Raw genomic sequence first — 22,516 nt, forward strand, 5'->3', positions numbered from 1 at the left:
TACTGTATAAGGTAGATTCTGAGACCTAAGGGCCTTTCTAGTTCCTAGATAGTAGAATTCAGAAACCGAGAGGGAGGGGGCATTTGCCACACGTGGCTGTTGAGGCAGAAAAGTCAAATTCACCAGGTCACAAATCCTGTTGTAGACTGATTTTTGTGAATTGACAAATTACATTGACTCCAAGTCAGATGGATATCAAACCATCCTGACTTTCTACTGCATTGACTCAACCAAGAAATTAGCTCACCTTCTGAGAAGTGGGAAGAGGCCTGCCAGAGGTTTATAGAAACCTTCCAAGGAGCCGCTTTGCTAAGGGTGAGCTTGGCACTCCTTGCCTTGCCAGAACCTTCCCTCTGAAGAGCGCATTCCTGGAGAGAAGCCCTTGCTTTTGGTTCTCAGCCTCAAGAGTAGGTGCTTTCCTCTGAGCCTGGAGTCTTATCTTCGCCAATAAGGCCACTCACGGAGGCTTGGAGGTTGTGTGGATGAGGCCAGGAGAGGAGGATCTGGCTGGAGCAGCTGGGGCAGAGAGAGCTCCTACCATCCAGGAGCTCCAGCCCCAGGAATGATAGAGTGAAGGGTGAGAGGCAGCGAAAGGACCCCAGCCATCTTAGCTGAACTGCGCCGAGGCTTCCTGCAGAACCGGGCTCCTCTTGCTAACCTTGGGCTCCTTCCCATGTGTTCAAGGCTCTCCCTGGAGTCACATCATCCAGTTATGTGGCACTTGCAGGGCTGAGCTCAGATCTGGAGTCTGCAGAGTTCAGGAGGCCCTCACATGGGGTAGAGTCTAGACATGGCCTGGGGGACAGCTCACACACGAGGCACATTTGACCTGGAGAAGAGACCACCTAGAGGGGAGGAGGCTGGTCCAGTGCTGGGAGGACAGTCCTATGGAGCATCAGGAAATTCAGCAGATGAGTTTTACATCTGTTTTTTCCAACTGCAGTTCAGTCCCGGAGCAGACACAACCCTGTTTGCAGAGAGCCAACATTCTAATTGACAGTGCGTGGTGGGAAACAGTGAACCGAGGGAAAGAGTGCCAGTGTTAGAGAGCCACAGTGCAGTGAAGAAGAGAAGGCAAGAGGATGTGATGCAAAATCACAGGACCTGGCTTCCAGACCATTCTGCTTCCATGAGAACATTTCAGTTGAGAACCGGATGGCATGAAAGTAAGCCAGAAGACACCAGGCAGGGAAAGACTGGTCTCCAGGTGCAAATGAGGTTGGAGCATTTGGGACTGCAAAGAATGTGGAGCGTGGTGAATGAGATGGCCCTTTGTATCAGATGCATGCATGAGTGGCTGGGGTCATGTGTGTGCTTCAGTAGAGGGTACCACGGGGACACTAAGAAATCTGGGTTTCTTTCTGAGGGCCTGGGAAGCCACCAGAAAGCATTGAGTAGGGAGTGGTGGATTGATTTATGTGTTTATGAAATCATGCTGGGTGCTGGGTGGTGCATGCTTATTGGGACAGAGAACAAGGTTGGAATTGCGGAGACCACAGCTAAGAGCCAGTTGCAGAGCCAGGCTCATTGTGATTCAACCTGGGAGGCATTGGGGATGAAAGCGATGAGGCCAGTGAGGATGTATTTCTACATATAATATGGATTAGGTAGATGGGTTTATACGTAATGTAGATTAGACTCAGAAATCAAACTGGAGCCAATGGCGGACACTTGATGGAAGGTGTACTTCAATTTCTTCCATTCTATAGAAAAGCAATACAGTGGAAAGAGTATGGGATTTGGTGTCTTTCAGACAGGATTCCACTTGCAAGCCGTGTGATATGGGGCAGCTCACCAGATCCTGGACCTCCATAAACCCCTCTGCAACGTGGAGAGAATCAGATTTCCCCACAGACTCCATGAAGGGCTCCAGAGTGCCCTCCCCCGTTAGCCACTGATGCATTCATGAGGAAGAGAAAGAGTTAAATGCTCCTTTCGAGGAAGCGGTGGTGGCCGAGTGCTGTGGGCACTGTGAGATCAGAGCTGACAGCCCAGACTGAATCGCAACCCTCACTAGGGCCATCGCGTTTTGCAGGGAGCTCTTCCCAAGTGCCCACTTTTACTAAATTACAGAAAATACCTAACAGGATAGTTTCTTCGTGTTTTAAAAATCAATGATCAATTTTTGTTTTGTTTTGTTTTTAAAATACAGTGTTTTCAGAGATAAGAGTATTACATTGGAAACCTGTTGTGACACAGAAAATTAGATGAGCCTGTGGTTGATTAAAACAGTCAAGTTGACCTACGTGTCATCTCAGTGCACAGTAAGGAAGCGTCTTCAGCTTAGAAAATTGCTGGGATGAACACAAACAAATCTAGTTCTTTGGAATGAGAATTTTCAGATTTTGGATTTATGGTCAGAAATGGCTGAGTCCCAGGGCCAGGAGCGGTGGCTCATGCCTGTAATCCCAGCACTTTGGGAGGCCAAGGCAGATGGATCGCCTGAGATCAGGAGTTCGAGACCAGCCTGGCCAACAAAGTGAAACCCTGTCTGTACTAAAAATACAAACTTTAGCTGAGCGAGGTGGCGAACACCTGTAATCTCAGCTACTTGGGAGGCTGAGGCAGGAGAATCAACTGAACCCAGGAGATGGAGGTTGCAGTGAGCTGAGATCATACCATTGTACTCCAGCCTGGGCAACAAGAGTGAAACTCCGTCTCAAAAAAAAGAAAAGAAAAAAGAAAGAAACTGCTGAGTCCTGAAATACTGATAAAATGACCAGCCCTGTTCACGTTCAAAACCTGACACTTTTAGTGTCAGGGTGACCAGGAATTGTGGCTGTAAAGGAAGCCTGAGACTTCTCTGGTTCTGGCATGAAAGAATTTTCCAAAACTATGTAGACGCTGGGGCCTTACAAGTTTGATATTAGTGTAAACAAATGTATTCTCAACAAGAATATAGATGAGTTTGCAATGAATTTCAGAATACTTAACTCCAGGCTTATAAGAGATTAAATAATTCTTTAAAATGGATTCTCAAGCACTTTATTTATGCTACTCATGGGAGCTACACTGGCAAGGGAGGTCACAGTTTCTGACGTGCCTTTTTTCTAAACTTCTGACTTTGTTTGTACACATGCAGAACATGATTTAACTATTGGGATCCCAATCCTCTATATTGGGGGATTTTTCTTTATATTTTTTACCTTTTGATAAAGTAGATCTTTAGAAATCAGAATTCCTGAGTTTCCAGCACTGTCAAATTTAGATTCTTGGGAATGCTGAGGTCTAACCTTGACTCTTTCAAATGAATGCTGGTGAACTTGTCTAAACTCCTGTTCCTGCATTCAGTTTCTCCCTCTGTGAAGCGGAGGCAATGTCACTCCCTCCTTTTAAAATCCTTAAGGTTTGGGAAAGGTTTTCAGAGTAGTCAAATAATTTAATACCCTTAGGTAAAATGTGCTTTCAAATTGTATTTCTACCCATGGAAATGAAGATTAGTCTCTTCATTTTTTTTCTTAGAATGGCCACTGGGAGATTCTGCTAAAATAAAAGATTTTTTTTTTAATAGTGCTGTTCAGGGGTGTTCGGATTCGATTGCCTTTCTTCTAACTCAAGGGTGAGTTTCAGAGACCCTGGTTCACACAGGACGGGGCAACTTCCGTCGTGTCCTTCTCAGATGAGGCATCTCACACTCGTCTTGTCTTGTGAATAACTGCACAACTGGTCATGAGGAATGCTACAGTGTGGCCTGTCACGGGAGCCCACCTCGCACACATTTAAGGCCAATACACGTCTGGAGCTTTGACAGGGCTGTGTTTATGTCTGCCTTTCACGAAAATTGGTATTCCTCTCATCTTTTATTTCAGCAGTTACAGTTAAACTACACCTTGATGAACTACGCGTGTCTATTCTCCCCAGTTCCCGGCCCACCTCCCTCAGCAACCCTCCCACAAACTGAAATGGAAGCCGGGCTGTGAAACATGAAACAGGCTGTTATAAAACTGTATTTTATAGTTGCAGCATGTTACAGTTGAAGGTGTGTTTACGTAGCTGAGGAGACAGAAACACCAGTCTTCCCACTCCAGAGTTTACCTAACTTCCTTCAGGACTAAGGGTAGAGCTGTAGATCACAATGTACCCCTTGGGGAGCTAAAGAGGAAGAGAAAGAGTTAAACACTCCTTTAGATGAAGTCCACATGCTAAGAAACAAAATGAATGGCACAAACAAACACTTCTGGGTTTTTTTTTTTTTTGAGACAGAGTCTTGCTCTGTTGCCAGGCTGGAGTGCAGTGGCATGATCTCGTCTCACTGCAACCTGTGCCTCCCAGGTTCAAGCGATTCTCCTGCCTCAGCCTCCCAAGTAGCTGGGATTACAGGCACAGGCCACCACGCCTGGCTAATTTTTGTATTTTTAGTAGAGACGGGGTTTTACCATGTTGGCCAGGATGTTCTCGATCTCCTAACCTCGTGATCTGCCCGCCTTGGCCTCCCAAAGTGCTGGGATTACAGGCGTGAGCCACCGCGCCCGGCCCCGCTTCTGGTTGTTAAATGCCGTGAGCAAACATTTCCAAGTCATTGCCACGCTGTGGTTCTTCCATTTTAGGGACTCAGCAGCAAGAAGGCCCCTGTAAGAAGGCCTTGATGGAGGGAGCGTGGGACATCCTTGGTGACTTCGCCGTCCTCTCTTCTCCACTCCTTTGCTTCAGGCCACCTCCTGCTGTCACCCCTTCGGTTCCAGTCCTGCCGGCTGCTGAAGTGCCCTGGCTTGGAGATTTGTGGTTGGGTGGGTGAAGCTCTTCTGCTTCATGTCTGCCTGTTTTCTGGTTTCCCCTTCCTGCCTCTCCCTTTCTCCCCTTCCTCCATTCCCTCCTTCTCCTTCGCCATTTCTCTTTCTCCTTCACCAGTCGGTGAGTGCCAGTCATGTGCTAGGCCCCACTTAGATCCTGAGGGTCTTGAGATAACCCCCCTCCTTCCAGGAGAACCTCGCATCACGACACTCCTTAGAGTGAGGCTGACTCAGCTTGGACTATGCAGAAGTTAGGACACATGGAGAAATCTGGCTGTGGTGGGTTCACCCGTCTGCGTTTTGGTAGGCCCTTCCTTTCAGGTATAGGGCTGGGTGGTGAAGGGGCCCAGTGAAGCCCGGGGCCATGTGTTCCTTCAAGTTGCACATGCCCACCTGCAACATTTAGTGGCATTTCTGATAACTCACTGTGTAAGGCTGTTTTGTGCTTGCGGCAGGATTTCTCCTCCGGTTTCTTACATAAAAATATCATCCATCGCCTGGTGCAGGAGCAGGAACGGAGAGACGAGAGGCCAGGGTGGGTCTGAGGCTGTTCTCCAGTCACTTCAGGCTTGGCTCACAGCCCGACTTCCTGCCCCGCAGCCTCCTGCCCCTGTCGCCAGAATGGCTGAGCCTGTTGATGACAAAGCCACAGCTCACAGGCTGACAATTTTGTCTGGATTTCTATCAAGGCCGGGAGTGCAGTCAATAGCACATGCAGGAAATTTTAAAAGATCAAGAGCAGCTGACAACAAAATCCACTCTGGGATGTTTTTAACCAAACAATCAAGGATTCAGTGCTTTCCGGGGGTGAGGACCAAAATGGAGCAGGACTGGCGGCCAGCATCACCTCTTCCATCTTCCGTCTGTCCTGAACCACGAAGGACGGCCTAAAAATAGCGCCTGGACCTTACACCATGGGTGCTTTTGTTATTTACCCTCTTTGGTCTTTTGAAAAACATCTTTATCGGAGCTGAGAGTCTCCCATCATTTATGCTTATAGAGTCCTTTTTTCTGAAGTCGTGAACGTGCCTGTTCTCATTTCTGGGAAGTCAGTGACAGGACTTCTGTGAGGGGAAAGTGGCTTCAGCCGGGTTACGGAGGGAGGTGGTCGAAGAGTGAGGTGAGAGAACCAGGGCTTCTGGGGACAGAGCATGTGCTGGCTCAGTGGCTCTCTGATTCTTCCTAAGAAAGAACAGTACCCTCTTTGCCCTTCTCTACACAAAGCCCTCCCCAGGCTTCCCTCTGAACCACACCTTTCCTATGAGGCCCTCTGGGAAGCTGAACCAGACCCACAGTGCCTCTCGCCCCTCCTTCAAGTTATACTCCCAGGTGCCTGCCTCTGGCACATCTCAGGAGGGCAGGGGCCAAGCCTCTGCTCCATTTTGAATGCCCGCAGACCCTGGTTGACAGTGATTCCTTCACCACAGCTAGTAAACCTGAGTGGAGGGGGCACCAAGTCCCCAGCACTAAATGGTGATTCAGACCTAAATCCCAAACGAGACGGCCGCCTAGGGCAGCTGACCTGCAGCCCCTGCAGACTGCAGTCTGCCGCTTTCAAGGCCGGCTTTCCCTTTCTCAGCTTCCCCATGGGCTCTGGCCAGTCTTGTCATTTTGCCACGCTTTAGTTAACTCATCTGAATTGCAGTAAGATATTGCACAGAGAATTGTGAGTGGTGACAAAGAGACCCAGAGAATTCGTCTCCCAAAACTGGAAGTTCCATGGACATGGGATAACCACGCTGTGCCCATCTTCCTCGTAGGAGCAGCTGACTGAAAAGCCACGGCTGAGTGGGATCACCACTGAGTGGGATTGGTCCACCACTGGTACTGGCTTCAGAACGCTGACCACAGCCAGGGGAGGGTGGTCAGCCCGGGAGGCCACACACTGCAGCTTTCCTTCAGGAAAAGCCCGTGGTCCCGTGGGTATAAATCAAATGTAAGTTGGGTGGATTACTTGAAGCAGAGGATCCAGTCTCACTCCCGCCCCACAGCCAGCGGGGAGCCTCCAATTCCTGGTGCTGGACACCCGCAGAGCCCCAGGCACCCCTAGCAGATGGCGAGTGTGTCCAGCTGTGCAGGCTGCAGCCCGGTGACTCGGGTGTCTGTGATCTGGTCTTACGCTCTGAGCTGATCCCCACACTCAGACCTCTGCCCCATGGCTGTGCATTCTGCTCACTGAGGTCTCTTCCCCAGTGGTCTCAAGGAAAACACGAAAGGCAAGGATGGTGAGCATGATGAACATTTCCTGTGGGAGACAGAGTTGCAGGCATTCTCAGAAAAGGAGGGCGCTTTGGAATGGGCTGGAGATGAAGGTGCATCACAGTGGGAAGGAAAGCCAGTCTCCACGGAGACGTGGGAGGGAGGTCAGCATGGAAGGGAGAAGGGACCAGGCCTGCTCCCAACACCACAGGCTGCCAAGAGCCCAGACACAGAGAAGGATAAGGAAACACTCGTGTGGGTGTCAGGGTTTGTCCTCATTTGCTTCATGCTGCTGCTCCCCGGCTTAATTGCTTCATAAATCTTGAACAATTTATGAACCTCCCCGAGCCCCAGTTTTGTCATCCGTAATATGGCTGTTAAATTACATACCTCTCCAGCAATAAGCAGATTTAATGAGAAAAAACATATAAAGAATAACAACAAATATCATAAAACACCTTGGAGTATTTTTAAGGAAAATCAGTGTGATTGCAATCAAGAAAGTTACAAAACTTTATTGGCATATAAAATGTACACAAAAAATAACATACACATTTGAACAATATCATATTCCTGAATATAAAAATGACTGTTGTGAGAATATCAGTTGTTCCTAGATTAATGCACACATTTGGTGTAGGTCATTTCAATATCCTCCTGGCTATTTTAGAAACAGAACAAATTCTAAAGTTACAGTGAAAATAATAATGTGAGTGTTCAACATAAATCTTTGAATAAAAAGATTGGTTTTTATAATTATTAAACAATGTTATCAGGATACAATGCTCAAAATAATTTGGTTATGAATAGACAAATCAATGAAACAGAATAAATAATTCAAAGACCTTGGCTCATGAATGAATAAGCTATATGGTTCATAAAGCAACACAAATACTCATAAATAAAAATATTTTCCACAAATCACATGATAATAACCTGCTTGCAGTTGGGGAGAAAGAGTAATTTAGTCCTAAAGAAAAAGCAAATTTCAGATTAACTTAAAAGTTAAAATACAGAGCAACCAAAAGCAGATGAAAGAAAAAAATGTCATCATGTGTTTTGAGGATGGGTCTGCCCTCCATTCTGTGGCTCAGAAACTCAATTTTTTTTAACCATCCCAGGGTTGAGTGAACCCCTGTACACTGATTTGAGCTGTCCAAATTCATAAAACCAACGTATAAAATATAGAGCCTAATTAATTGACAAGGAGACATGGATCTGCCTGGGGGTCCTTTTCCCACGCCCACAGGGTGCTATGGTGAGTGTGGCATCAGAGCGGGAAAAGGCTGCACCTGAGGCCGTGTGGGACCTGCAGGCTGCTGCACCCATCTGTCAAGCCTGAATTGCTGCACACACTCAGATCCAGCCAATGGCACTGCATTCCTTTATTTTCCCAGATGTCACAAAACCTCCTTGAGCACACTGCCCCAGTGTTGGTGGGCAGGCAGACGTCTTCGCTGCAAGGTCAGCTCGCCTTTAGGGTGGTGTGCAAAGTCCAGAAAGCATTTGGTGAGCCTCCCTCTCTCCAGGAGGAGGGCTCTGGTCCTTCAGTTCTCATGTGTTATAGCCACAGGGCAGTGCTGGCCCCAGCAGGCAAGGGGAGGCTTTGGGGTGACGCTTCCCCTGATGTGGTGGTCAGAGTCCCCCCACTGGCTCCTGGCCATGCCATGCTTTTCTCTGCAGCTTCCTTCTCAGCTGTACCTCCAGAGGCCCTGTCCCACTGGAGCACATGTGTCCAGGCAGGTTTGGCACCCAGACTCCTGGGGCCAGTAACCATCACCTCTCTCTCAGATGCAACTTGTCCTCTTCCAAATCTTTTGCGCAAAATAGGGTGCATCCATCTGGTCCCTCTGGAAGACAGAGGCCTGCCCATTGCCAAGTCATCCATAGGAGAGGACTGTGTAATTTGTTTTCTGAAATAAGGCAGTTTTGAGAGTGAGATGGGGAGGGAGTTGTTACTGATGATACTGAGAAAATAGGAGTAAACTAGGGCTACCCAGCATCCCCCCAACACTCTAACTGATATGAACACTTTTTCTGGGCTCCTCGGGCCAGCCCACCCTCTTCTGATGGTCACATTCTTCAGCTACTTTGGTGCCTTCAACACTGTTTCATTTTTGGCTGCCTCCACCCCTTCAGGGTAACTTCTCAAATTGCTATACTCACTGATTATGGGTCAGCTGTTACAGCAGAAGAACTCTCAAAGGAAATCTTATTTCCAAGTTCCTGAGGGCATCTTAGGATGGTTGTCCACTCACTTCCTCTCCCCTGCCCCTTACTCCCCTACCCGTTGGGGAAATTTATCTTAACAAAACAATCTGAAATTGTACTATTATTTAAAATAATGCAGAAATAAAGCCCCAAGAGCAATGCAAATGTTCAACATAAGGAACTGTCCAAGTAAAGCTGACACTGTGGCGATGAATGGTTCATGTTTAGGAAGGTGATGATTTTGGAGAATTTGGCAACATGGAAATTGTATATGCTGTAATGGTTAATGAAAAATTAGAAAGGAGGCTATACAGTTGTAACACTTTGACCATAATTATATAAAAATAATAACAAATACAGTAAGATGTTGGGGTGAAAACAATTGCCAGCATGGTAACAATAACTTTGCTTCAATTATGGGATTAGGGCTGATTTTTTTTTCTCTCTCTTTTACTATTCTCCAATTTTTCTGGAATGTGGTTCACATAATGGAAACAATGCTCTCTCCCTCCCCTTCTGCAGGAATTAAATGAGGTAATGATTATAAAGTGCTTTTTCCTTTGTTTCTCCCCTCTCCATAACCCCATTGTGTCCTGACGGACCTTGTCCTGAAAAAGAGGGAGAATGGGGCTTGGTTGGAGGATCTCTTGTTCCCAGGGCAAGGCTTTCTCTAGTTTTCTTCCTTGTCCTCGAACTGTGTCAACCTTGGGCCACAAATGAAATGCCCTCGACAACGCCAGTGGACTTATCTTGGGGATCTCTTGCACCTGCAAAGTGAAGGCCTCTGTATCCCTTCCACAAAAACTTCAACCCTGTCAAAAACAGCTTTGTTATGCGAAGTTTTATTGGGAAAGGAAGTGTCCCAAGAATTTCCTATAGCTGAGCCTGTTACAAAAGTTCACTCCACCTCTCCAACACTCACTCAGGTTTCTAGCCGCCTTGGTGGTCCCCGCTCTCTCTCTCTCTGTGTTGAGCTGTGATTCCCTGCTCAGGTCTGAAGTGATTCTGGATTTCGCCTCATCTTGACATGTGTTTTCCACTTCTTCAATTTTACTTTCTTTTTTCTAGACCACTTGTGAAGAGGAAAGTTATTCCTCTTAAAGATGAAATATCTTTCCACCCTAACTAATGAAGGCATCCCAGTATGACCTTTCCCAGGACAGTCCTGGAGAAATGAATGGCCCCCGACAGTGCTGGGCATGGGTCTGGGCCGGGGAGGGGCCAGCATTCTGCTCCCGAGGGAATCCTGAACACCGCTCTCATATTTTCTTCCACGAGCCAACTCAACCCAGAACAATGCCCTTAAAAACATTTCCTATGTCTTAGGTAAACTCTGCATTTGGTATTCTAAAGAGACTTGGAAATACATCACTGATATTTATTTCAGCATCACTTGTAATATTGGACTATTGGACATATTCTGATGTCCATTAAGAGGGATCTGGTTTAATAAAGTATGGTCCATCTAACAAGGCCCAGAGCAGTGTATGCAGTAAGGTCTCATTTGTATTAAAATATATTTATATATGTAGGTAACTAGATGTGTATAGAATATTTCTGCAAAGATAGAGAAGAAAACAGTAACGTTCTCCTCTGGGGAAGACAACCAGAGGGGCTGAAAGGCAGAGTGGAGAAGACCAATTGTTTTATTTTATTTTGTATTTCTTTGGTCCCTTTGAATTTTTTATTAATTTATATATATGTATATTTATATTTACTAGAAAAAAATTGAAACGTATAACTAGTGGGCATGCTAAGAGACCTTTCCATTTGGGTGCATTACCTCTTAGGATTACATTTTCTCATTTTCATCTATCTGCATTAAAAAGGGAAATAATTTCCATGCCTGTATCTTTGGGAAGCCCTCTCACCCTACTTTACAAAATTGCTTCAGGCTGCTACAAATATATTCAAGGTTTGTGTTCTTTATTTTTCAGCTCCTCACCCTCTTGGGAGCCACTTAAAAAATTTTCTGGCCAAGAACTTACCCCACCCCTCCTGGTTCCACCTGCAAGGGGTGGCAAGAAATCTAAAATATAAATACTGGAAAACTGATTTGTGATAAGAACGTAAGACATAATATTTATATAAACTTTAGCTCTTGCAAGAGGTGCCTCGAGTATGCTGGGTGTTAGAACGATAAGGAGGGTGCAGCTTTCAGCAGCTGAGTTAAGGTGATCTAAAATCGCTCACACGTGGATGGAGGAATTAATAAGTGGAGGGTGTAAGTTACGAGTCGCTCCTCCACACTCAGATGCAAGAAGCATCACATTTCTTTATTTTTCCAAATCAAATTACACCTGGCTCCGAGCATCTGCTCCCTAGGGTTAAGAAGAAACATGATGCTGGCTGTTCTCAGGGTTCCTTCCTCTTCAATTAGATCATGCAGGGATCCTGGAGCCCAAGAGCCCTGGAAAGAGGCAAGAGCTGCTCCTCAGCCTGTGATCAGCATCACAGCTACTGCTATGTCCTCTTGGCTTCATGATTCCTTCATCTTTAGGGCTCTGTGGCTCAGGGACCACAGAAATGCCACTCATACCACATTGTTCTTGGCCTGAAGGAGGGTTTCCCGCTTGGCTCAGAAGCAGCAGAGGGTAATTTCCAGCTTCCATGCAGCTGTGAAGGACTGGCTCCCCAATCTCCAAAGCCCTAGCTACCCCCAGACCTTGGTTTGGATGGGGACAGGTTCCCAGGGCTCACCTGCTCTTGATTGCCTGCCCGGGGCATCTTCCCAGTCTTGAAAACACCATTCTCCCTCTTCTGCTTGTACACAAACACAGAGACTTCTCTGGATGGCTTAGCTTTCCAGAGCAAAAGCTTGAGTCTTCAGGGCTGTGGTCCATCTCCTGAAATTTGGGAAATGGGTGTTCAGGGTCTCAGGAAAACAGTGCCCGCTTCTCTGAGCAGCACGTTGAAGCTTTCCCTGGTGAGCCGAGGGCAGCAGCACTGACTGCATAAATCACCATGGTGTGTTCTCCCTGACCCACTTCCATACACTCACCTCTCTAAACATAAAGACAGTGACTTCAGTTCTCTGCGCTCACCAGGAGAGGGAAAAATGGGCAGTCTCCAGCCTACATTCTTTCCTTCATCTCCCTCTGCTGGGTCTCCAAGCTCAGCCATCCTGAACCTCTTGGTGACCATGGCTCCTGAGCTTCTGTGCTTGCAGGCCAGCCTGCAAACAGCAGGTTTGATGCCTCGCCCATGGGGCAGCAGCTCCCCTTAACTGGGCTGGTTCCTTCTGCCCCAGAGACTGTAGATGCAGGAGGACACTTTGGAAGCTTTCATTCAGCACTTTGGAATATATGATTCCACCTGAGGTTCGCAGAGTCTATAGAAAAGTGATTCTCAAACATTGATTGTGTTAAAAAATCCTCTACCTGGGCTCCTTCAAAAACACACTGTCTGAGAGACTGAGACAGTTGGCTGCCTGAAAGAATTTGACTGGACTCACAGTGGATTCTAACATAGCTCGTCTCTTGAATTGTCACTGAGAAATAATCCTTCCAAAATGACAAGTCCACCTGAGATTTACCCTGTCACCTGAAATCCACACTCACTTTTCCAATGGTATATTGATTACCAAACGGGAGAAAGCAGGGCCTTGCTGTGCACTAATTAGCTCCAATACCCTAGGCTGTCACCAGGTGGTGGGGTGCCTGTTTGCTGCTGTCTACCTTGCTACCTGTGGGATCACCAGCAACTCCTCAGGAGGTTCTGAGTCCCCAGCTCCTTGCAGACAGGATGGGTGGAGACACTAAATTTTGGTTGATGGCTGGGAGTGTGGGCAGAGGGCAGGTGGATGCATAGATAAAGGAATAACTGTAAGTTTAACTGAATATTGGAAAAACAAAAGGACAATAGAGTTCTGAAGTATTCTGAAGAAAACTTTAAAGATTGTTGGCCTAGGTAGTTGTAATTTGCTTTCAAATTTTAAATTTTTTTAGATGACAAAAGAGTGATACATATTCAAAGTATTAATTTATGCAATAGAGAAATATATACATAAAAAATCATGTCCACCTGTCCATACTACTCAAAGCAATATACAGATTCAATGCAATCCTATAAAAATTTTAATGACATTTTTTATAGAAATCAAAAAAATTCTTAAATTTTTATGCAATGATAAAAGACCTTGAATAACCAAAATTATCTTGAGAAAGAAAAACAAAGTTGGAGGCATTACACTTCTGGGTTGCAAATTATATTACAAAGCAGTAATAATCACACGGTATGGTATTGGTATAAAAACACTCATACTGTATATACCAATGGAACAGAACAAAGAGTCTAGAAATAAGTGCAAGTATACATGGTCATCTAATCTTTGACAAGGCCACCCAGAAGACAAGATGGGGAAAAGATAATATCTTCAATAAATGGTGTTGGGAAAATTGGATGTCCACATGCAAAAGAATGAAACTGGATCTTTATCTTACACCTTCATGAAAATCAACTCAAAATTGATTAAAGACCTAAACGTAAGATGTGAAACGATAAAATTCCTGGAAGAAAACACAGGGGAAAAGCTCCTTGATATTGTCTTTGGCAATGATTTTTTTAAAAATATGACTCCAAAAAGCACAGGCAACAAAAGCAAAAACAAACAAGTAAAGACTACATCAAACTAAAAGTCTTCTGCACAGCAAAGGAAACAATTAACAAACTGAAAAGGCAACTAATGGAGTGGGAGAAAATATTTGCGAGCCACATATCAGATAAGGGCTAAAATCCCTATGGAGTTCATACAACTCAATAGCAAAAAAAACAAACAACCTAATTAAAAAATGGGCAAATGGCCTGAAAAGATATTCCTCCAAAGAAGACAAAAAAAATGGCCAACGGGTTTAAGAAAAGGTACTCAACATCACCAGTCATTGGGGAAATGCATATTAAAACCACAATGAAGTATCATCCTACACCTATTAGGATGGCTATTGTAAAAATGACAAGAGATAACCAGTGTTGATGAAGGCACAGAGAGAAGGGAATCCTTGTACCCTGTTGGTGGGAATGTAGATTTGTGCAGCCATTATGGAAAACAGTATGGAGGTTCCTAAAGAAAATAAAAATAGAACTTCCATACGACCCAGCAATCCCACTTTTGGGTATATACTCAAATGAAATCACCACGTTGTAAAGATATCTGTACTACCATGTTCATGGCACCATTACTCACAATAGTCAAGATATGGAAACAAGCCGTGTCAATCAAAGGATAACTGGATAAAGAAAATGTGGTAGATATACACAATGGAATGTTATTCAGCCTTTAAAAAGAAGAAAATCTTGCCATGTATGATAATATGGATGAAACTAGAGGACATTATGCTAAATGAAATAAGCCAGACAGAGAAAGAAAAATATGGCATGATCTCACTTAGATATGGAGTCTAAAAAAGAAAAACCATGAATACGTAGAAACAGAGTAGAAAGGTGGTTACCAGAGGTGGAAGCAGGTGTGGGGGAAGTGGGGAGATATGGGTCAAAGGGTATAAACTTGCGGTTATCTGAAACGGTAAGTCTAGAGACCTAATGTACAGCAAATGGACTAGAGTTAAATCTGTTGTATATTGAAAATTTGCTAGAGTAGATTTTAGGTGCTCTTGTCACATACATACACACAAAAGAAAATGTAACTATGTGAGATGATTGGTGGATATGTTAACCTACTTGGCTGTAGTAACCATTTCACTATAAATACGTAATATCAAAGCATCATGCTGTATTCCTTAAATACATACAATTTAAAAAATAAGGAAAAAACATAATGCCCACATCCCCAAACCCACAGAAGAGAGTTAACTGTTGGTATGTATTCCTCCACAGTTTTCTTAGCTGTCATAAAACTTATATGAGCAAATGTAAAGGATGTTTTCTTTCCTTAAAAAAAAAAACCACCAAAACAAAATTAAGGACTTATTATTTCATTTGTTTTGCAGTTTGCCTCTGTCCCCCCAAATAAATCCTGGACATCACTGTAGGTCAATTCAAATAGATCTAGTATATTCTTTTAAAATTGTTTCATAATATTCCATAATATGAGTATTCTGTAACTTGGTCTTTCTGAGCCTCTTCCCTTCCTTCTTTCTCTTTTCCTTCTTCCTCTTCCTCTACTTCTTCTTTTTTCCCCTTTTTTCTCCTTTTCCTTCCTTTCTCTTCTCCTCCTCTTTCTTCTGGTCTGCACAAATAACTGTGTAACAAAATCCCTGCATTATTTGAGCACCACTGCTAGTCCAAATTGTGACAGTTAGAAAAAGGCATCCCCCAAGACATTTTACTGCCAGAAAACTGTTATAAAATATATACAAATCCATGATGACTAACGGGAAAATGATGCACCTTAGAGTTCATGGTTGCAAAATTTTATGCAGCAGTCCTCACATACTAAGGCCATTATTTATATAAGATCAGATTCCCGGTCAATGCAGATACATACTTTAACTTTTAGTAGCTTCTGCCAAATCATATTCCAAAAATGTTGTAATACTACAGTGTATGCGATACACTGCCCACACCCTCAATAACATGAATTTCTATCTGAAAATAAAAACTTTCAAAAATAGCTTTATTGTTTATTGTGTAATGAAACAAGCTCATTGCCAAAAATCCCCAGAGTCCTAATAGCCTAAGATGGCCATTGTTAACTCTCAGATTAGCATTTTTTCAGGTATTTCTTTATGCCTCTTGAAATAGATGTCAATACTTTTTCCTGATTGGCATCGGACTAAAACCACTGTTCTTCGACCTACTCTTTAAGCTTAACGCTATTGGGAGCCCCTTTGTGGGCCAACAAATGGAGATGTGCACCATCATTTTCTAGGGAACATGCATTGTTTTCCATTCTCACATTCTGGGTGTAGATACACCATTACATAGCCTCACTTTTGGGGGGTTTATGCATTTGGACCCATCTTCACTGTCTTGGATTCTTGAAATATGTTGTGATGTGTGATCTGCTTCCAGATATTACTAATTTGTGTCTTCTCTTTTTTTTCCTGATCAGTCTGAATGGGGGTTTATAAATTTAATTGGTCTTCTGAAAGATCCCACTTTTGACGTCATTAATTTCCTATATTGTTTTTCTTTTTTCTGTTTTATTGACATCCACTCTGATCTTTATTATTATTCCTTGTCTTCTGCTTATTTGGAGTTTCTTTTAAAAATAACAACTATTTTTTAAAAGAAAATATTTTTTCTAATTTATTTTTTAAACGTTGACAAAAATTGTATATATTTATTGTATACAACATGTATTTTGAAATATTTTTACTAGTTTCTTAAACTGGAAGCTGAGGTTATTGATTTGAGACCTTTCTTTTCTAATATAGGCATTTAGTGCTATAAAATTATACTTTAGCTGTATATCACAAATTTTAATATATTACATTTTCATTTATAATTACTTCAAAATACTTTCTAATTTCTGTTTTAATTCCTTCTTTGATCCCTGAGTTATTCAGAAGTGTGTTACTTATTTTTTCTACATAATTGGGGATTTTAAAAGATACCTTTATTTTACTGATTTCTAAAGTAGTTCCATGTGGTCAGAGAACATGCTTTGTATGACTTGTATGATTTTACGTTCACTGAGACTTTATGGCTAAGAGTATGCCTTGGCAAATGTTCCAGGTACACCTGAAAAGGATGTGCATGCTTGTCAGGTAGAGTGTTCTATCAATGTCAACTAGGTTAAAGCTGATTGATAGTTTTGTTCAAATCTATATCCTTACTGATTTTCTTTCTACTTGTTCTATTAGTTATTGATATAGGGATTTGCAAATCTTAGATTCTAACTGACTTTTTCTATTTCTCTTTACAGTTCTATTAACAGTTTTTGCCTCATGCGTCTTGAGGCTATGTTATTAGTTGGTGGTTCATCCACATTTGGATGACTTACCTATCTTAGAATGTATTTCTATTGCCATAGACACATGACAGCTGTGAGTAATAGAGCTCTTGAGTCCTACTTTCCTCAAATCTCGATTGTTTCATTGCATTCCAGTAAGAAGAAAACTCTGAGGAGTGTCTGATAGTCAGTTAATAGTTTTCCTTTTAGGATACTGGCTTTTACTTTCTCAAAAGTATCTGTGGTTCTTTTTTGGACAAATCTTGGTGTATTTCATCCTATATTCTTTTTATCAGGGTACAGTAAACCTTTGAATTATATTTATTTTTTCTTTCACTGTAGAAAAGATCCTAGTTGAATTTTATGTCTTACAATTTTTTTCTAGTCTTTTCTTTAGATATATAATTATTTTTATATTAAATTTCTAGTTTTCTGATTATCTCTGTTATTTTCACCCTTGTCACTTTTATTTCTTTATTTATGTTCCTTTGTCTTTCTTGTCATTATTTTCTTCTTTGTTTTCTTGGAGTCAATCTCCTACAGTGTTCACTTCAACTATCTTTTGCATCTTGCATGCTTTTCTGCCCTCCTTTCTATTTCTCCTTCTCCTCCTCTCCTACTCATCCTCTATTTCCTTCTCTTCTTTCTACTCTTCTTCCTTCTTTAGTTCAAATTTCACTTAATATTGAATGATGTGATTTTAAATATACTTTTGACCCTTGAACAAAATAGGTTTGAACTACAGGGGTCCACTTATATGTGGATTTGTTTTTCAACCAAAGGCAGATCTTAAAATACAATATTTGCAGAATGTGAAACTTGATTTCATGGAGGGCTGACTTTTCCTAGAATCAGGTTCTGCAAGGCTGATGGTGGAGACCTGAGTCTGTGCTGATTTTTGTATATATGGCAGGTCCTGGAACCAATTCTCCCCCACTGTGTACACTGAGGAATGACTGTATTTACCTTTTAATAGGGTCAGTTCTGTTTGAATTTGATAACCAAAATAATGTGGGTAGAATTTTCTTGATTCTCCACCTTTTTTACTTAACCATCATTTTGAGTGTCTCCTTAGAATATGAGTTAAATGAATGTGTTAGACCTTGTGTTTGGGCATAGAGCATGCTGAGCAAGGGAGGGAACTTAGAGCCTTGGTTCTACTTCAGGTGAGAACCAGGGAGGCAACCACAAAGATGCTAGCTAAATGTTTGCTGACTGAGTGGGCAAACCACTGAATGCCTGCCTGACCTGTCTCACAGAGAAGTGCAAGGTTAGGTGAGAAGACTAAAGCCACTTCAAGACATGGAATCAACCCTGATGCCCATCAAGGGTTGATTAGATGAAGAAAATGTGGTACACATACACCATGGAATACTATAGCCATAAAATAGAAAGAGATCATGTTTTCTGCAGCAACCTGGGTGCAGCCAGAGGTTATTATCCTAAGTGAATTAATGCAGAGGCAGAAAACCAAATACCAACCAAAAACCAAGTGCATTTCTCACTCATAAGTGGGAACTAAACATTGGCTACACATGGACATAAAGATGGGAGCAATAAACACTGGGAATTCCAAAAGCAGGGAGGGTTGAAAAACTACCTATCGGGTACTATGTTCACTTGGGTGGCAGGTTCATTAGAAACCCAAATCTCAGTATCATGCAATATACCCATGTAACAAAACTGCACAGGTACCTCCAAATCTAACCTAAAATAAAATTAAAAATCCAAATTAACAACAATAAAAAAGCCACTTTGAGCATTACCAACTACTACACACACACTGAGCTGAGGTTCTTAGAGTTAGTGAAGGTGGTCACTGCAGGGCAGTGCTTTCTGGTAAAACATCCCACTTTCTCTGAGACGCCACACTTTTTATCCAAAAGAAATCGTGCCATATGCACTTGGGCTCTGTTGCGTGGCTACAGAACAATGACAGTTATTACAAATTAGAAGTCTGTGGTTGTGACCAAATTCCTGGGATGGGTGACTCCATGGCCCAGACAGACAATGTCTGCCCTTCAGAGTGCAGACTGGGGAGGGAAGTCCCCAGGCAGCACTGCCACTGATGCAATACATCTGTGCTGGGCACTCAGTAAAAAGCCTTCCTTTCCCAAACATTTTCTACCCTGCTGTGTGGGAGTAGATCCCATGAGGTACATTAAACTGTGCTCTGATGAGAGGCCCATGCCTCCCAGCAGCTTCCAGAGATGGGCAGTATGTGATTTGGGGAGGTCACCGGGTCTGCTATCACTCTTATTCCCTCTGCACTGTGACATTTTATGGAGAATTCACACTCGGGCATGTCAGAACTAAATGGCGACAGGCTGATCTGGTGTCACTGAGAATGCTCTGGATTCTTTACTGCTGCAGACTTGCACATGTGAGAGACAGCTCAGACTCCCAGGCTCCCAGCTCAGCCCTTTTCTGTGCTGGACTGCAGACAGCAACCCCTTCCTTTCAGCTGCTCATTTTGGAGCAAAGTCTTTGCCTTCATCCTGTTTTCTTGTAACTGTTCTCAGAGCTTGGTTGACCCTCCAGTGTTAATACCCATTTGCTACTTGATCTGGCCCATGATCCTGTGTTTCTGAAGACTAAATGCATCAACAGAAAAGGGACCCACACATTATCTGCGTGTAATAGATGTGAGATTTGCATCACTGAAATTGGGCTTGAATTGGCTAAGCAAGCTTCAATAAAAACTTAAGACTTCTGGGATGTGCAGAATACAGAAAGTGGGGCATTATCCAGCTCACAACTCCTGCAGGGTGTGAGTGGTGCTCAGCCACTCCACTCCAGGCCGTGGCTGATTGGTTCTAGGGAGAGGAGCCTGAGCCAAGCTCAGCCAATCACATTCTCACTCTCAGGACCATGAAAACCTGAGATTGAAGCACAGACATCTTAGGGCGGAGCCCCAGACCTAAGGCCCCCTGACCTCTCTACACTTGACATTCTCAGCCTCTCCTCCAAGGTCCTCTCATTTCTGCTCTAGCCCTTCACTCTTGCCTCTTAACATCTAGGCCTCTAGACTCAAGAGCCTAAAGACTGTTGTAACCATGCCCTTGCTGCTGGCCACACTTGTTGGACATGTCCTCACATCTTGTCTATGACACAGCTCAGCCAACATGCCCAGAATCCAGGCCTCTAAACTCATTGTCTCAGGATGCTCAGGCTCTACTTTCACCCTTTTTGTAGGCTACAAAACTCAAGTTACGGAAACAAAATGAAGATGAAGATATATGGGATATCTGCATTTTTGAAGTCCAACAAATTTGAGCATAGAAACCTCTGGTCTGGTGGGCTCAAAAATATGTCTAAAGACTTTAGGATTATTATCCAGACCTGAGATGCATGCACTCAGTTGATCAATTTAATAATGATTATAATTTCAAGTTAATGCTTGCTTTTATGATGGGAAGTAAACAAAATATAGAAATTGATTCAGTCTCAAGGAGTTTAAAGTAGACAACACTGATTGACTTATTCATTGATGGAGTAATTCTTTAATTTATTTAATGGTCATCTATTAATTCAACAAAAGTTTATTGAAAATAAGCTCATGGCAGGGCATGTTTTGGGGGAGTTCAGGGATAAGGAGTCAATCCTAAAGACACATGTCAATATATGTTGATAAACATGAGAAAAGGCTTGGCATGAGCCTGAAGAAGTACTTAAATTTAATACAGGCATTGCATTAGTTAGGGTTCTCTATGGGGACACAACTAATAGGCTAGATGTATATATGAAGGGTAGTTTATTAGGAGAATTGACTCACAGGATCACAAGATGAAGTCCCACAATGGCCATCTCTAAGCTGAGGAGCAAGGAAGCCAGTCCTCAAAAGTCGGGAAGCCAACAGTGCAGCCTTCAGCCTGTGGCCAAAGGCCTGAGAGCTCCTGGCAAATCACTGATGTAAGTCAAAGAATCCAAAGGCTGAAGAACTTGGAGTCTGATGTTCGAGGGCAGAAAGCATCCAGCACAGGAGAAAGATGGAGGCTAGAAGACTCAGCAAGTCAGTTTCTTCCACCTTCTTCTCCCTGCTTTATTCTAGCCACGTTGGCAGCTGATTAGATGGTGCCCACCCAGATTGAGGGTGGGTCTGCCTCTCCTAGTCCACTGACTCAAATGTTAATCTCCTTTGACAACACCCTCACAGACACCACCACCCTACCCAGCTGCCACAGGGAACAATGCTTTGCATTCTTCAATCCAATCAAATTGACACCCAATATTAACCATCACAGCCATGTATGAAGGCAAGGAGACTAACTAGAAGTTTCTTGCAGTCAGGCAGGTAGATGATAATGATCTAGATTACAGAAATGGTAGTGGGTATGAACAGAAGATTAGTTTCCAAAGATATTTAAGAAGTAAGTGACTGGAAGGTATGGGGATAGAGGGGGAGGTGAGAGAGAGTCAAAGGTGAGATCCTGTTGCTGACTTGTAGGGCTTGTTAGATGCTGATAGAGATAGAGAAGTAGTTTATATGGGAAGATCATTCTGTTTTCTGATATGGGTTTGTTAGATGTGAATGAAAATGGTGAGTGAGTCTGAGTTTTGGAGAGACATCTATGTTGAACATCTAACTGGAGAATCATTTTCTTCCTTTTTGTTTTCATTCTCCAGCTTTATTGAAGTATCAGAGAATCATTTTCTTAAGAGATGGTAATGGAATCCATGCATTTGAAATAAATCAACAGAAAAAAATGATTCAGAAGAGAGGGAACTAGCCTAAGGACAACTGTGATATTGTGAAATATATATATGGGTCTTCATCCTGTGTCCTGGCATACCTAAAACCCTTGGAATATCCAAAGGCATGCTTTTCATGTGCAAATGATTGACTGATGTCTTCAGGATGGAGCCAATCACCAGAAATGTCAAAGCATAATTAGAGTGTTGGGACTTTCAGCCATACCCCACACCCCTGACCTTTGGGGAGGAGAGACGGGCAGAAGGTTAAGTCCATCAACAATGGCCAGTGATGTAATCAGTCATGCCTATGTAATGAAGCTTCCATAAAAATCCCAAAGGACTGGGTCTGGAGAGCTTCTGGATATCTGAGCACATGGAGGTTCCTGGAGGGTGGTGCCTGGGGCAGTCATGGAAGCATCTCATCCCTTCCCACATGCCTTGCCCTATGCATCTCTTCATCTGTATCCTTTAAAATATCTTTGTAATAAACTGCTAAGCATAAGTGTGTCCCTGAGTTCTGTGAGCCATCCTAGCAAATTAACTAAACTGAGGAGGGAATCATGGGAAATCCAATTTATAGCCAGTCTGTCAGAAGCACAGGTAAAATAACCTGGGGCTTTTAATCACCATCAGAAGTAGGGGGCAATCTTGTGGGTCTCAGCCCTCACCCTGTGGGATCTGATGCTACCACTAGGGAGAGAGTGTCGGAATCGAATTGGAGGACTCACAGCTGGTGTCCACTGCTGCAAGACTGGTTACTTGCCTGGTGTGCTGGAAAAATCCCCTACAGAACCTGGTGTCAGAAGTACTCTGCTTTGTGAGAGTATAG

At 43.3% G+C, this 22,516-nt stretch overlaps 1 long non-coding RNA gene across 1 annotated transcript in view, besides 2 other annotated features; it reads left to right on the top strand.

Annotated features, from left to right (window-relative positions):
- LINC00840 (long intergenic non-protein coding RNA 840) overlaps positions 1-22,187 on the top strand; it is a 36,023-nt gene extending 13,836 nt beyond the window's left edge. Inside the window, exons 4-5 of the long non-coding RNA NR_038268.1 lie at positions 944-1,166; positions 21,619-22,187. This is a non-coding gene — a long non-coding RNA (long intergenic non-protein coding RNA 840). The remainder of the gene's footprint in view (positions 1-943; positions 1,167-21,618) is intronic.
- Positions 2,450-2,619: an enhancer, noted in NCBI's record as "experimental_12586 CRE fragment used in MPRA reporter constructs". NCBI's record gives its function as "activates a minimal promoter by MPRAs in K562 erythroleukemia cells, with activity observed for both the introgressed and non-introgressed 10:44371229 variant alleles {active_cell/tissue: K562}" and the evidence as "EXISTENCE:reporter gene assay evidence [ECO:0000049][PMID:34662402]".
- Positions 3,585-3,772: a silencer, noted in NCBI's record as "fragment chr10:44372279-44372466 (GRCh37/hg19 assembly coordinates)". NCBI's record gives its function as "represses an EF-1alpha promoter that drives an FKBP-Casp9 reporter gene in an ReSE screen in HepG2 liver carcinoma cells {active_cell/tissue: HepG2}" and the evidence as "EXISTENCE:reporter gene assay evidence [ECO:0000049][PMID:32094911]".
- Positions 22,188-22,516: the final 329 nt, after the last annotated feature.

Source organism: Homo sapiens, chromosome 10 (assembly GCF_000001405.40).
Source record: "Homo sapiens chromosome 10, GRCh38.p14 Primary Assembly".
NCBI lineage: Eukaryota > Metazoa > Chordata > Mammalia > Primates > Hominidae > Homo > Homo sapiens.